The 16,259-nt window shown below is 43.3% G+C and overlaps 1 protein-coding gene across 2 annotated transcripts in view, besides 3 other annotated features; it reads right to left on the bottom strand.

Moving 5' to 3' along the window:
* The window catches only part of ERICH5 (glutamate rich 5), a 29,042-nt gene extending 14,935 nt beyond the window's left edge, over positions 1 to 14,107 (bottom strand). For both annotated transcript variants that reach the window (NM_173549.3, NM_001170806.2), the window contains exon 1: positions 13,948 to 14,107. In NM_173549.3, coding sequence (NP_775820.2) covers positions 13,948 to 14,005 — 58 coding nt within the window. In that variant the 5' untranslated portion in view covers positions 14,006 to 14,107. The remainder of the gene's footprint in view (positions 1 to 13,947) is intronic.
* Positions 7,799 to 7,908: a silencer, noted in NCBI's record as "silent region_19394". NCBI's record gives its function as "represses an Ori minimal core promoter by ATAC-STARR-seq in GM12878 lymphoblastoid cells {active_cell/tissue: GM12878}" and the evidence as "EXISTENCE:reporter gene assay evidence [ECO:0000049][PMID:35858748]".
* Positions 13,667 to 13,726: an enhancer, noted in NCBI's record as "active region_27675". NCBI's record gives its function as "activates an Ori minimal core promoter by ATAC-STARR-seq in GM12878 lymphoblastoid cells {active_cell/tissue: GM12878}" and the evidence as "EXISTENCE:reporter gene assay evidence [ECO:0000049][PMID:35858748]".
* Positions 13,967 to 14,066: a silencer, noted in NCBI's record as "silent region_19393". NCBI's record gives its function as "represses an Ori minimal core promoter by ATAC-STARR-seq in GM12878 lymphoblastoid cells {active_cell/tissue: GM12878}" and the evidence as "EXISTENCE:reporter gene assay evidence [ECO:0000049][PMID:35858748]".

Genomic DNA, 16,259 nt, shown 5'->3' with positions numbered 1-16,259 from the left:
GCACCGTTGTGATAAGCACACAAAGAAACTAAATACTAGGCAACATTACAGAAGGGATTAGAACTAAAGCTAACATACCTGAAATTCACATTATGATGGAAGCTTTTCAACTCAGTTCATTACCCTAATCGGAAATGAAAAGTTTCTACCCAACAAAAAGAAAATCTTGTCAATATTTCCTATGACTATGCCATATCAGACATCCTAAAGACTTCACTGGCCTGTCTGCTGGGTTTTTGAGCGAATTTGTAAGGAAGGGGGTCCTGGTGTTTTTCCTTGCTGTCATCATTTCTAGGTTCCTGGAGCTTTTGAGGTTTTGGAACCAAGAATGTAGCACGAGTCAACCCCAGAGGAGTAGTCCACTCATCTTCCTTCTCATTTTCTTACTTTGCTTTTGCCTTAATTCCATTCTATCCTTCATCCATCCATCCAATCAACATTTGTGGAGCAGCATTATTCTAGATGTTTTTTCCCTTTTCCCACATCAAAGCATGTACGAACACTCTTCTGTGCCATGGCACAAATGCTAATTCCCAAGTGTGCATTCCATCAGCTGGTAGATGCTAACAGGGCACTCATTTTGAAGAAAGGTGAACTTAGGCTATATTCCATGTAACTGACATATAAAATTATCAACCAAAAAAATGATTTGAGGGTAAATAAAAATCAGTCAGACCACTTTTCTTTTTTAATAAAAGCACCTGAATTTACATATCTAGAATTCGTTTTGATCATCACAAAGTAAATGCGATGAAGTTGGATGATAAACTTAATGTTGAAATTTAAATATAGAGAAACAAGAATAGGCTAGGCATGGTGACTCACGCCTGTAATCCCAATACTTTGGCAGGCTGAGGTGGGAAGATTGCTTGAGCCCAGGAGTTTGAGATGAGCCTGGGCAACATAGTGAGACCTCATCTCTACAGAAAGAAAAAGAGACAGAGAGAGAGAAAGAGAAACAAGAACATAATTAGTAATTAGAAAGGTACTCTTGGAACAATTGTTGAACTCACATGGAGATGTGGACGCCTGCCTAGGGGAGAGGCTGAACTTTAAGAGCTACAGAGGCAAGTCTGTCATCAAACCATGACAAAGAGTTGTTTCCTTCAGATATACTTTTCCAATTTTATTTTCTTTAATTTCTTTTAGATTCCTATAAGATAAACTCTTATTTCAAAAACATGATAGCACAAAACATCACTTTAGAAATTATTGACAGCATTCATCACTGAAAAAAGAGAGTTTCATTGATGGATGGTCATTATTAGCACAAGGAAATCCAACATTTGCATAGAAATCCAGTTTATAAAATCAAAGCCATCTCACTGAACAAGGAAAGGAGACAGGAAGGAAGATGATGTCTGTCTCTGTATATATAATGACACTTCACCAACCCAAATAGGACTTGCCACCATGCTCCTCTGGGAAGGGGAACAGTGGTTGACATTCACTGAGGCACTGAGCCTGGAGCTTTGTGTGGATTATCTCATTCAATCTTTCCAACAACTCCATAGGGGGACTATTGTTATCCCCATTATATAGTTGAGGAAATTATAGCATCCTTTTTTTTTTTTAATAGAGACAGGGCCTCGCTATGTTGCCCAGGCTGGTCTCAAACTCCTGGCCTGAAGCGATCCTCCTGCGTTGGCCTTTTAAAGTGCTGGGATTACAGGCATGAGCCACCATACCCGGCCATTATAGCATCTTTATCTAAGAGGGGCACACAGCTAGTGAGTGGCACAGCTTAGGCTTAACCCCAAGGAAGTTTGATTCCACTTTGAAGATTTAGCTGCTTTTAAAAGCAAATTGCGGTCCCAGAGCCTGCACCATCAGCATGACCTGGGAATTTTTTTTTTCAATGCTGAATCTTGGGCTCCACCCCAGAATCTTAACCAGATTCTTCTGTATTTTAACAAGATCCCCAGATGATTAGGTTACCTATGGAGTCACCAGGGAAGGCATACAGGAGCTACTTGGAGAGACTGAACTAGATTGAACAATCCTATATGAATATACAGGATTGCTGGATGGGGATGTCCTTCATTCTCCACAGGCGTTGCTGCCTATCTTAGTGTGGTCTCTGTCCTCACACTAACATGCCATGGTCAGCATGAAAGATAATATAAGGATATTGATTTAGCCATGAATCAAAGGCCTGAGCTGGTTTAAGTGAGCTCCACGCTGGGGAGTGAGATTTTTTCCCAAGCTTCCTTCACTTCACAGAATTAGCTGGGTTTGCTAAGCCTCTGCCTTGGCTAGATCACGAGGAAAAAAAAAAAAAAAAGGCCTTCTAATTTCTCTTCTGAAATTAAGGTTAATACGGCTGGGCACGGTGGCTCATGCCTGTAATCCCAGCACTTTGGGAGGCCAAGGTGGGCGAATCACTTGAGGTCAGGAGTTCGAGACCAGCCTGGCCAACATAGTGAAATCCCGTCTGTACAAAAAATACAAAAATTATCTGAGCATGGTGGCGGGCGCCTGAAATCCCAGCTACTCAGGAGGCTGAGGCAGGAGAATCGCTTGAACTCAGGAGGCAGAAGCTGCAGTGAGCTGAGATCGCGCTATTGCACTCCAGCCTGGGTGACAGAGAGAGAGAGACTCCATCTCACAAAAAGCGTAAATGCTTGCTCTGCTTTGCACTCTAAGAGGGGTGGACAGACCCACCTCACCAATGTGATGTGGCTGCTTGCCAGGTTCGGTCACTGTGTCTATGTTTCACTCTGTCTGAGTACAGAGTACAAAGGCCCATGGTCAAAAGCAGGTGTCTGTGGCCAGGCACGGTGGCTCACATCTGTAATCCAAGCACTTTGGATGGGTGAATAACTTGAGCCCAGGAGACAAGCCTGGGCAACATAGCAACACCCTGTCTCAAAAAAAAAAAAAAAAAAAGGCAGGTGTGCTTGAGATGGGAGTTAGCAGTTAGCAACTGTGTGGCTGGGATGGAAGACTGAAATTTTACAACAGAGCAGTCCTATTCACACCAGACATTTGGGCCTCAAGCGTGGGGGCTCTGTGCACCCTGAAAGCCACTGGCACCAGAGAGAGCACTGGGGAGACCCAGGAGGAGAAAGATCTAAGGTCTTTCCGCTGACTGATTGCTGCCACCACTCTCTCAGGTTAGGCACCTACATGCAATTCAGATGACTTCAGTTCCATGCTTAGGAAACATAATAGATCACATTAAGCAAAGGGGGGATTTTCTTTTCCAGAATGAAAAGCCACTTGTAACAAAGCACAGGTTGTCCACTCACAACCTGATACACCTTTGAGGCCACCATTAAGCCTCCTGGTGTAAACATTTGAAAACTGAATTGAACGAGCTTCTTCATAAAGCAAAGCATAAGAAAAAGCTGCAACTTAGGAAGTAGGTTTGACCAAGAATCATGAACATAATTAAACTGGAAGATTTCAATAAGATTAGAACAGAAAATAAAAATCTGCCTTTTCGCCCATCATCAAACTTCAGAGTCTCCAGGAGGAATATTAGAGAAGTCTAGGGGGCAGTGAGAAGTCAAGTCAACCACATGTACCTTTGAGATGATGTGATGAGAAGGGCAGTTTATCTCTGTGGTCTTCCTCCCAAAAACCCATAACTCCAGTGTCATCATGAGAAAAATACCAGACAAATTCCAGTTGAGGAATCTTCCACAAAATACCTAACCAGTGCTCCTCAAAACTGTCAGAGTCATCAAAAACAAGGACAATCTGAGAAACTCTTAGCCAAGGGGAGCTGAAGGAGGCATGATGACTACATGCAATGTGGGATTCTGGATGGGACGCTGGAAGTGAAACAGGACATTAGAGAAAAACTAAGAACATCTGACTAAAGCATGGACTTTAGTTAGTAATCATGTAACAGATTTGGTTCATTAATTGTGACAAACATATCCTACTAACATAAGATGTTAAGAGGAAAGTGAGTGTGCAGTATATGAGAACTCTCTGTACCAACTTCATAATTTTTCTGTAAATCTAAAACTATTCTAAAATAAAATTTATTTTTAAAAATTATAGCAGGGAGGCCAAGGCAGGAGGATCACTTGAGGCCAGCAGTTTGAGACCAGCCTGGGTAACATAGTGAGACCTTGTCTTTACAAAAAATAAAAATATTAGCTGGGTATGGTGGTGCACAGCTGTAGTCTCAGCTACTCGGGAGGCAGAGGCAGGAGGATCACTTGAATCCAGGAAGTTGAGGCTGTACTCAGCCTGGGTGACAGAGTGAGACCCTGTCTCAAAAAAAAAAAAAAAGTAAATTAAAATGAAAAATAAAAAAATTATAGAAGCAAAAATATAAGAGCAAGTAATCTAGCTAAATAAGAAGACCTGGTAGCCTTAGAAAAACTGTCTCATAAACTGTAGCCATTCGCATACCACTTTTATGATTTTTGAATATTTCTTTACCATTTGTGCTATTATTGACTTAATATTTTTGTCACCATTTTTCTTTAAATAAATTTACTTTTTTAAAAAGTGAGGAAGGCCAGGTGAGGTGGCTCACACCTATAATCCCAGCACTTTGGGAGGCTGAGGCAGGCGGATACCTTGAGTCCAGCAATTAGGGACGAGGTTGGGCAACATGGCAAAATGTCAACTCTCCAAAAAACAAAAAAAAATTAGCCAGGTGTGGTGGTGCATGCCTATAGTCCCAGCTGCTGGGCTAAGGTGGGAGGTCGAGGCTTCAGTGAGTTGTGATAGCGCCACTGCATTCCAGCCTGGGTGACAGAGTGAGACCCTGTCTCTAAAAAAAAAAAAAGAAAAAGAGAGAAAAATTTAAAAAGTGAGGAAATCAACAAACTCAGGGATCTAGAACTTGATTTTAAACAAACACAAAAAGCTGGGTGCAGTGGCTCACACCTGTAATCCCAACACTTTGGGAGGCCGAGGTGGGTGGATCACCTGAGGTCAGGAGTTCGAGGCCAGCCTGACCAACATGGTAAAACCCTGTCTCTACTAAATATACAAAAATTAGCCGGGCATGGTGGCACCCGTCTGTAATCCCAGCTACTCCGGACGGTGATGCAGGAGAATCACTTGAACCCGGGAGAAGGAGGTTGCAGTAAGCCAAGATCACAGCACTGCACTCCAGCCTGGGCGACACAGCAAAACTCTGCCTCAAAAAAAAAAAAATTATATATATATATATATATATATATATATACATATATATATATATATATATATATATATACATATATATATATATATATATATATACATATATATATATATATATATATATATAGAGAGAGAGAGAGAGAGAGAGAGAGAGAGGGTCTCACTATGTTGGTTAGGCTGGTCTTGAACTCCTGGCCTAAAGAGCAAGCTTCCTGCCTCAGTCTCCCAAAGTGCTGGGATTACAGGCATGAGTCACCGTTCCTGGCCCAGACTATATTCTCAGTGCATTATATGTATTAACTTATTTATTCCTCAACTCTATGAAGTACTATTGTTGATCCTATTTTGTAGATGAAGCAGCATGGAGAGGGTCAGTACCTGGCTCAAAGTCACACAACTAATAACTGATCCTGAACGAGGATTTGAACCCAGTCTAACTCCAGGCCCACATTCTTAATCAGCACTCTATACTGTCTTTCAGTTGAAATGAAATGTTGAACTTCATACCCATACATTAATGCAAGGTGTACAGGTAACCAGAACCTCCCATAACATCTAGTCTACAGGTGCTATACCTTTAGATTAAGTACTAAGTAAAGGAAATTAGCAAAAAAGAAACTCTGTGGTTTATATCAGAGTCTTGAGAAAATGGGAAGAGGCAGAAACAGGCACACACACAAAAATCACCTTACAGAAAAAAAATAAAAGACAAAAGGTTCATTATAATTATCATTAACAGTGAGGAAAAGAAATAAGCAAAGAGAATGTTTTAGGGAGAACATTTCAACAAAAGTCCTTGCTGGGGTGGCTGAAGGCAGATGTTATCTCTAAGCAAAAGAAACTACTAGTGAAAATGACAGAGCAGCTGGAATGCACATCCCAACACTTCCTTTTTAATTTTAATTTTAATTTAATTTTTTTTTAGATGGAGTCTCACTCTGTCACCCAGGCTGCAGTGCAGTGGCACAACCTCGGTTCACTGCAACCTCTACCTCCCAGGTTCAAGTGATTTTCCCGCCTCAGCCTCCTGAGTAGCTGGGACAACAAGCGTGTGCCACCATGCCTAGCTAATTTATTTTGTATTTTTAGTAGAGATGGGGTTTCACCATGTTGGCCAAGCTGGTCTCCAACTCCTGACCTCAGGTGATCCTCCTGCCTTGGCCTCCCAAAGTGCTGTGCTCACAGGCATGAGCCACTGCACCCGGCCACCAACACTTCCTGATCCTTTTCAATGTCATGACATACACAGAATATGATATTTGTGCATCACACTTCAACAAATGGAGGAAGCTGCTTCCAGATGGCTCAGGCTGTCAGGATCCCACCTGGCTGCCCTAAAGGCTAGGAGAAATGCTGGCATGGCTATAAACCATTCTCACAGGCTGGGAAACTCTGATATAAACAACTTAGGTAGTACTAAATCATGCACTCCAGCATTGACTGTCTTATTTCACCCACCTTCATAAGGTTTAATTCCTAGGGGGTTTTAGCTGCTAAAAACCATGTGGGGCTGGGCACGGTAGTTCATGCCTGTAATCCCAGCACTTTGGGAGGCTGACTGAGGTATTAGGGTTGCTTGAAGCCTGGAGTTTGAGACCAGCCTGGGCAGCATAGTGAGAACCAGTCTCTACCAAAAAAAAAAAATAAAATAAAACTTAAAAAATAAAATAAAAACAATGTGGATTGTTGTTTTTTTCAATATTCATCCTTAAAGGACAAAGCTCAGACACCCTTGATTATATACAATGAATGAACTTGAGAGCCCGAAGGCAATTCCCAAGAAGTGGTTCAAGGACTGTGAAAAACAGCAATAGCCCTGAGATGGGTGAAGAAGCTTCTGAAGTCATTACAGGACTTTCAAGACATAAACACACCTGGAGAGCTATAGTCTGGCACTTTGCTTTAAAAAAAAATTACAGTGGGGCACAGTGGGTCATGCCTGTAATCCCAGCACCTTAGGAGGCTGAGGTGGAAGGATAATTTGGGTCCAGGAGTCCAAGCTGCCGTGAGCTATGATTGCACCATTGCACTCCAGCCTCGGCAACAGAGCAAGACCCTGTCTCTAAAAAAGAAAAAAAAATTACCTAGTACTACTCACACACACTCTAGGATTAGAAGCCTCATCAAGTTTTTATCAGCTTTGGTGAGACTTTCATTAACCCCCACACGTATTCAGGGTTTCTTTCAACTTGATATTGTAAAACATTAACATAGAAGTGAAACTGTACACATGAGCTGGTTGTGGGGCCACCTTACAGAAGCATGATTTTTTCTTTTTTTTTGAGAGGGAGTTTTGCTCTTGTCACCCAAGCTGGAGTGCAATGGCGTGATCTCTGCCCACTGCAACCTCCACCTCCCAGGTTCAAGAAATTCGCCTGCCTCGGCTTCCCGAGTAGCTGGGATTACGGGTCCTAGCTACCACCAGCTGCCACCACGTCCAGAAAATTTTTGTATTTTTAGTAGAGACGGGGTTTCACCATGTTGGCCAGGCTGGTCTTGAACTCCTGACCTCAGGTGATCCACCTGCCTCGGCCTCCCACAGTGCTGGGATTACAGGCATGAGCCACTGCACTCAGCCCAGAAGCATGATTTAATGGCAGACAATCAAGCGTTGTTTTACAGTGCTAACCTTTTCCTGCATAGCTAGGAGGCTCTATACACAACCCGACACTCTTTCTAAGCCCATCTTGGCCAATATTACCTTTCAGTTTCTGGTATTCATTAGGTTCTGATTCCTCCTCTGCTTTTCTGAGTAATACTCTTACCTCCCTGAATCCCCGTCTCTGTCAATCACCCATTCACCCATCCATCTACTCAACAGTTATTGCTTGCTTTTTTTTCTTTTCTTTCATTCTCTTTTCTTTTTCTTTTCTTTTCTTTTTTTTTTTTTTTTTTTTTTGAGATGCAGTTTCACTCTTGTTGCCCAGGCTGGAGTGCAATGGCGCGATCTTGGCTCACTGGTTCAAGCGATTCTCCTGCCTCAGCCTCCAGAGTAGCTGGGATTACAGGCATCAGCATACCAGTAAAAAATTAGCCACCACACCTGGCTAATTTTTTGTATTTTTAGTAGAGATGGGGTTTCTCCATGTTGGTCAGGCTGGTCTCGAACTCCCAACCTCAGGTGATCTGCCCACCTTAGCCTCCCAAAGTGCTGGGATTACAGGGGTAAGCCACTGCGCCCGGCCTCTTTTTTCTTTTCTTTAGAGAGAAGTCTCACTGTGTTGCCCAGGCTGGAGTACAGTGGTGCTTGACCTCCTGATTCTCCCACTACGGCCTCCCAAGTAGCTGGGATTACAGGCTCGAGCGTCCACACTCAGCTGATTGCATATGTTCTATGTGTAAGGCCACACTACAAGTTTCTTGCAGAACTAGGACCAGATCCCAGATGGAACTGGAAGTTGTGAAAAGAACAGGGGCTTTGGAGTCACACACATTAGCCATGTGCCCCAGGTCCATCCATCCATCTAGTAAGTAGGCTTACTAGACCTACTAGCTCTGAGACCAGGGCAAGTGACTTATCTGTATTAAGCTTCGTTTTCTAGCTGTATTTGGTGCAATTAATGTTTGTGTTTTAAGGCTATTGTGAGGATTAAATAAGATCACAAACTAAAGCACCTGAAACCAAGTGCATGCTCCCTCCTTATCTCCTGACTTCTGTCCCATGTGTATGTTTCGATGTGGCTGCACAAATGTCTGAAAGTTTTCTGTTTTAGAAAAAGATTTACTTTATTGTTGATGACAGTGTAAACTGCTTCAAGTCTTACAGAACACATTTAGGCAGTTATCTATCAAAACTTTCAGTGCGTACACCCTTTGACCTAGTAATGCCACTCCTGGGAAACTGTCCTACAGATATACTTGCACACATTCAAAATGATGTAGGCACAAAGGAATTCATGGCAGTCTTGTCTGCAACAGGGAAAGACTGTAAACAAATTAAATGTCCCTCAATAGGGGGGCTGGTTAAATAAATCAAGGAACATATTATTATGCAGGTATAAAAAAGGAGAAAGAAGTTCTCTGCATATAAATGTGGAAAAATCTCCATAGTGTTAGGTGAAAAAAACAAAGTGAGGAACGGTGGGTATAGTACACTACATTTTATAAATAAAGATGAGAGAAGGAAATAATATTTGCAATGCATAAATAAACTTCAAAAGAATATATAAAAAAAAAAACCCTAAAATAATAAGTGTGTATTCACAGGTGTGATTCGAACTAAATAGATGATGAGGATGGGGTGGAAGGTATACTTTTCAGACCTGCCTTTTCCAAATATTTTCACATTTTTGAACCATGTATGTAGTTTTTTTATTCCATTTCAATTAGCCATATGCAATCGCCAGGCCTATCACAAAGACATACCAAATGCTATTTAAGTGCCAGGCTCCAGAAATGACACAAGGCACACATTTGAAAGAAAAAAAATCCCATTTATATAATTTCTATATGCAAGAAAAGCCTATACAAATTAAATTTAATGTTTATGATGTTTGTTCTTCAATTCAAAAGGAAAACTTTTGTCTAGTTAGGACCAGATGACCTAACTAGATGTCAGAGTGTGAAATATTGGGTGAAAACTGAAGGTATGACTGCAGTACAAAGAACAATTCACATAACTGTGAAATTCAAGCTTCATCTGATTGCCTAGGCCGCATGGACAGCAAGCAGCTAGTGAAAGTTCAGGTTAGAACAAACAAATGATTATAGCTGTCAGTGGAAATGTACACATTAACCTAGCAATGAACTTGTCAATAATTACCACCTATTTACTTTGTCCATGTTTGGTGCTTGGGCTGTAACACCTTGGAAAGAAGTCTGCCAAAACAGATCCCATTTATATTAGGAAAGATTCGAGCAGTGATTATCCATGTTAGCAGAGGGCTAGGAACACTGGGAGGAGGGTTTGGATGTGAACGTCTATAGACACCTTCAGGCACATTAAGGTCTGTGGAGTCAATAAAACCTTTGTGTTCAGATTGCATCGGATCCTCAGGACACTCAAAACAACAGAAATTGTCCTAATATTTAAAACTTGCTTCCAAAAACACAAGAAATTCCAAACTCAATCTGTCTAATTATCCTTTGGAATGAAAAGTCTCTTTCCTCACACATTTCAGGGCACGTCATAAAAATCGATGTGTGACTACCACATATTAGGCACTGTTCTACGCTGTGAGGAGCACTAATAATTGTTAACAATCAGAGTCTTCACCTCTGTTCTCCCAAACACACACACCTATCTGGTCAGTCATCTTGGGAGGTGATAGGAAGCAGCTCCGTGAGATTCAGTGTCTAATGGGTCAGGGCAAATGTCCCCACATAATCAGTAGAATAGATTATTCCTGTGCAACCTAATGTCTACCTACTAGTAGCTGCTGTCTGATTTAAATTTATAACATAGGCTGGGCACAGTGGCTCATACCTGTAATCCCAGCACTTTGGGAGGCCGAGGTGGGAGGATCACTTGAGCTTGGAAGTTCAAGACCAGCCTGGGCAACATAGCAAGACCCTGTCTCAATTTTTTAAATAAAAAATAAAATAAATATATAATATTTGTATAACACATTATACTATATATCTTATTTAGGGATTAGACTAATATTTAGAATCATAATAAGGGATTATTCTATCCCTAAATAATATATATAGTATAGGCCACGCGTGGTGGCTCATGCCTATAATCCCAGTACTTTGGGAGGCTGAGGCGGGTGGATCACCTGAGGGCGGGAGTTCGACCAACATGGAGAAACCCTGTCTCTACTAAAAATACAAAATTAGCCGAGTGTGGTGGCACATGCCTGTAATCCCAGCTACTCGGGAAGCTGAGGCAGTAGAATCACTTGAACCCAGGAGGCCGAGGTTGCAGTGAGCCGAGATCATGCCATTGCACTCCAGCCTGGGCAACAAGAGCGAAATGCCGTCTCAAAAAAAAAAAAAGATACATAGTATAATTTGTTGATTGTATTGTATTGATTTCATTGTTTTTAGATAGTGGGTGACCACACACCTAATGGGGATCCAGAGTGATCTGAGGCAAAAACAGATTTAAATCTAGTTAGCAGAAGCTGGTTTAAACATATAGTTTCTTTTTTTTTTTTTTTAATTGAGTCTCACTCTGTTGCCCAGACTGAAGTGCAATGGCTCAATCATACTTCACTGCAGCCTTGAACTCCTGGGCTCAAGCAATCCTCTCACCTCAGCCTCCTGAGTAGCTGGGACTACTGGCCTGTACCACCAAGAGTTACATTCCCTGAAATACATGTTTTAATTTTTTTACAAAAATTTTTAGATACAGGGTCTTACTATGTTTCCCAGGCTGGCCTTGAACTCCTGGCCTCAAGCAATCCTCTCATATCAGCCTCCAGAGCCATTGGGATTATAAGCATGAGCCACTGTGCCCAACAAAGCATATGAGTTCAAAGCCCAGCTCTGATTCTTAGAAGCTCTGTGACCTTGGATAAATTATTTACTCTTATCTGTAAAAACAGGACAACCATAATATTTAGTCATAACATTGTTATAAGGATTAAATGAAGTAATTCATTCAACAAATAATTACTGAGGACCTATTATATGCCAAGCGTTGTTAGGCACTGAGAGTACAGTGAATAAATGCATGTACCAGACATGTAATAAACTTGAACTGTTTTTGTCTAAAAGTATGTACACACAAGCTTGAGGTTGTATATAGGATTTAAAGAAGTTGCAAGGTGCAGAAACAGGAATGAATTATTTATCGGGCCTAAGATCATGAAGCTGAAATGTTGATGAACACAGAATAGTATCTAATTACAAGAGAGTATTGTTTGATCGAGGGTTAGAAGCAAATAGACCTGTTGATTGATTCAACGTGTGTGTTGAGCAATTTACGCCGCATATTAGGTTAATTTTCTAAGGGCTAGAACTGGCTGTCAGGCATTTTAACATCTCTTCCATAACAACACCTATGAAAACTCAGAACAGCAATGAAAGCAAGAATAAAAAATGGAAGAGTGTAACTCACGTGGAATAGTTATTAATATTGATGATAAAATATTTTTAAAGATAAAGTTATTCATTATTTTCTGAGAGGATTAAAAACTGCATTCCACCTACTGAATACTTTTGCCCCAAAGTTACATTCCCTGAAATACATGTTTTAATCAGTTTAAAACTATGTAATGGTGACTCAGTACTCTGCTTGTTAAACCAGGATGCTACTCCTAGGATAACTGAAGCACAGCATGGGGTAGAGAAGTCAGAATAATAAAATGTATCTTCCTGAAGCATCTGTTTTCCCTCGGCTTTTCATATTGAAACCCACAAAAATCTATCATAGAACAGAATGCAAAACTCTACTTAATTTCATAACATAAAACACGAAACATCGAAACATCGGAGAAACTCCTTGCTCTGTCCTCTTGTTGCAGGTATGGAAGCTCTGGGTTCTTTAGGAGAAAAGTTAGTGAGCACTGTGCATTAGAAATGAATTTTTCCATCTTTTCACATTGTTGTCAGTGAGAAGGGGTTTACTTTTATAATGCTTTTAATTTTTTGTTTACTTCCTGACTTGTCATTGCTTTCCGTTATCTATGGAAACTAGAAATAAATTCTCATACACCACAAAAATAACAGCAACACAACATATTTCTGACTAGGACACAGCGGCTGAGCTTTGAAAAGCATTCCTCACCGTCTGGTGCGCTCTACCAACAACATCAGAGGAAGACATTTCTGTTACTGCAATAACACAAGGTGCTAAGAGAAAATCTGTGAAAAGGAATTCACTCCAGTACAAAATCCCCGCTAAAGTTCGCCTTGCAGAAGACTGTAAACTAGCTTGACGGAGTTTGCTTAACCTCCATAGCATTGTCCAAAATTTTAGCCATTCAAAATCTAAGAAAAGTGAGTCGGCTGTAAAACCCTGTCATTCTCTAATTCATGTAACTGCGTTTATACTTTTCACAGTACTTATCACTGTCAGAAACGATCTTAGCCAATTGTTTCACGTGTTTCTTTTCTGTCTCTTCTATCTTCAATCTCTACAAACAGGGTCACTTGTATCTCCAGCATCTAGCCAAGCACTGGGGTATTATATAGCAGATGCTCAAAATGTCCTTGTTGAGTTTCTTCAGCAAGAGTCAGTGATGACCACTTTTGATCACACATACTTCTCAACTGATACTTAAGCCGAAGATAGGGGAAAGTGTGTCTGACCTATTCAGAGTGCAGGGACCCATTTGATGGAGTGAATGCTCCTCTGGATTCTCCGCATCTTTTGCCATCTTTGATGCTGAAACGCTAATGGGAGGGTAAATGGGGAAAAGTCTTTTTTGTTGGTGTTTTAGTAGAGACGGGGGAGCGGAAGATCTCGCTTTGTTACCCAGGTTTTTCTCGAACTTCTGGTCTCAAGAGATCGTCCCGCCTCAGCCTCCCAAAGTGCTGAGATTGCAGTCGTCAGCCACCGCCCCCAGCCTTGGTAGAAGGCCTTGATAGGACATTTCTCCTGTGTTTAAGGCAATGCCGAGGCTAACCGCCTTAGGGCCTCAACACCAACTCCCCGAGATCCCATCAGCGGACAGGGTGAATCCAGCGCCCGGCCTCGGGCCCCGCGCGTCTCGCAGCGAGCGCCGCGGAGCGCACCAGGGCCGCCGCACCCGCGGTCACAGCAGCGCCGCTCCAGATTTGGAAGGAAATCGCGCTTTGTCCCGGGTTCTGCTCGCATCCTCCGGGACAAGGCCCGGCTCCTGCCAGGCGGGGTGGCCACGGGACACACCCTTTGGACCTCCTGGGGAGTTAGCCCACCCGAGTCCCCAGCCCGGGCGCGGGCGGCGCCGGTACCCTGCTCACCGCTGGGGAACCTGCTGCTGTCGCCGGCCTTGTTGAGGGCGCTGCTGGAGCAGCCCATTGCGGGGAGCGCAGACACCTGTCTCAGCCCTGCGCGGGTGTCGGCCCGGAACCGGGAACCGAAGGCAACTGCACCCGTAGCCGCGGAAGTTTCTCCAGCTCTGCAGCCCGGCTCCCTTGGGCGTAGAGCGCAAGCGCGCAGCGGGGCTAATGGTAGGGGGTGCGCACCTGGAGGAGGAAGGGAGCTGGCAGGAGGTGGAAGGAGCCTGGGAGCGCAAAGCGGAAGAGAGCGGGAGGGCCAGGACGCAGAGGAGGGCAGGGAGGAGTAGAGCCCAGGAGACAGGAGGGGAGACGGTGGAGGGTATGGCACAGTAAGAGAGGAAAAGCCCCTAAAGCAGGGATAGGGAGGATGTCAGGGGGCGAGGGCGAAGCGCTGGGAGGTATCATCTGACTCATCACTAAATAGCCAGGGAGGCGAGGCGGCCTTGGGACTAGGGGCTATTGATTGGTAGACTAGATGTGCGATGACAGTCTTATTTTCTTACATAACTACAATTACCACAAGGAAGTTTAACTTTGATACAGTACGATTTAATCCACCCTCCATGTTCCCTTTTTGCCAATTGTCCAATCCAGGACTGCACGTTGCATTTAGTTGTGTCTCTCTTTAGTTTGCTTTAATCTGAAGTAGTTCCTCCAGTCTTGCTTTGTCGTTATGACTTTGACATTTATTAAGAGAATAGATTTTTTTTTTTTTTTGAAACCGAGTCTCTCTCTGTTGCCCAGGCTGGAGTGTAGTGGCGCAATCTCGGCTCACTGCAACCTCTGCCTCCCGGGTTCAAGCGATTCTCCAGCCTCAGCCTCCAGAGCAGCTGGGATTACAGGCGCCTGCCACCGTGCCCAGCTAATTTTTGTAATTTTAGTAGAGACGGGGTTTCACCATATTGGTCAGGCTGGTTTCGAACTCCTGACCTCAGGTGATCCACCCGCTTCGGCCTCTCAAAGTGCTGGGATTACAGGCATGAGCCACTGCGCTCGGCCTTTTTTTTTTTTTTTTTTTTTCCGGAGATGGAGTCTCACTGTGTCACCAAGACTGGAGTGTAGTGGCGAGATCTCAGCTCACTGCAACCTCCACCTCCCTGGTTCAAGAAACTCTCCCTGCTTCAGCCTCCTGAGTAGCTGGAATTACAGGCATGCGCCACCACGTCTGGCTATTTTTTGTATTTTTTAGTAGAGACGGCGTTTCACCATGTTGGCCAGGCTGGTCTTGAACTCCTGATCGCAGGTGATCCGCCCGCGTGGGACTCCCAAAGTGCTGGGATTACACATGTCAGCCACCGCACCCGGTGAGAACAGGCTTTTTTTTTTTTTAATTTGAGACACGGTTTCATTCTTGTTGCCCAGGCTGGAGTGCAATGGCACAATCTCAGCTCACCACAACTTTCGCCTCCTGGGTTCAAGCAATTCTCCTGCCTAAGCCTCCTGAGTAGCTGGGATTACATGCATGCGCCACCACACCCTGCTAATCTTGTATTTTTAGTAGAGATGGGGTTTCTTCATGTTGGTAAGGCTGGTCTCGAACTCCCGACCTCAGGTGATCCGCCTGCGTCAGCCTCCCAAAGTGCTGGGATTACAGGCATGAGCCATCGCGCCTGGCCAGGCCTTTTTTTAGAGAGAAAGAGGCTGGGCGCGGTGGCTCATGCCTGTAATTCCAGCACTTTGAGAGGCTGAGGCAGGAGAATCTCTTGAACCCGGGAGGTGCAGTTTTCAGTGAGCCAAGCCTGCCCTCCAGCCTGGGTGACAGAGCAAGATTCCATCCAAAAAAAATTTTTTTATAGAGACAGGAGTCTTGCCATGTTGCCCAGGCTGGTCTTGAACTCCTTACCTCAGGGGATCCTCTTCCCTTTGCCTCCCCAAAGTGCTGGGATTACAGGCATGAGACAGTGTGCCTGTGATTTTCTAATTACATTATTCCTTCTATATTGATTAGCTGCCATTCTACTACAAAGTAAGGAAGTGCTTTTCCTTCCCCCCATTTATTCACTTACATCAGTGAGCACTCATGAAGTCTCACACTATCCAATGTAGTATGTTACCATCTGTGAGAGTTTGCTAGGGGTGCTATAATAAAGTACCACAGACTGGATGGCTTGAAGTACAGACATGTATTTCCTCATAGTTCTTGAGATTAGAAGTCAAAGATCAAGATGTCAGCAGAACTGGTTTCTTCTGAGGGCTTGTCTTCTTGGCTGGTAGATGGCCATCTTCTCCATGTCTTCACTTGATCTCCCCCTTGTGCTTGTCTGTGTCCTAAT

The sequence above is a fragment of the Homo sapiens genome, chromosome 8 (assembly GCF_000001405.40).
Source record: "Homo sapiens chromosome 8, GRCh38.p14 Primary Assembly".
NCBI lineage: Eukaryota > Metazoa > Chordata > Mammalia > Primates > Hominidae > Homo > Homo sapiens.
The sequence above is the reverse complement of the archived record's forward strand: the minus strand, read 5'-3'. Positions and strand labels throughout refer to the sequence as shown.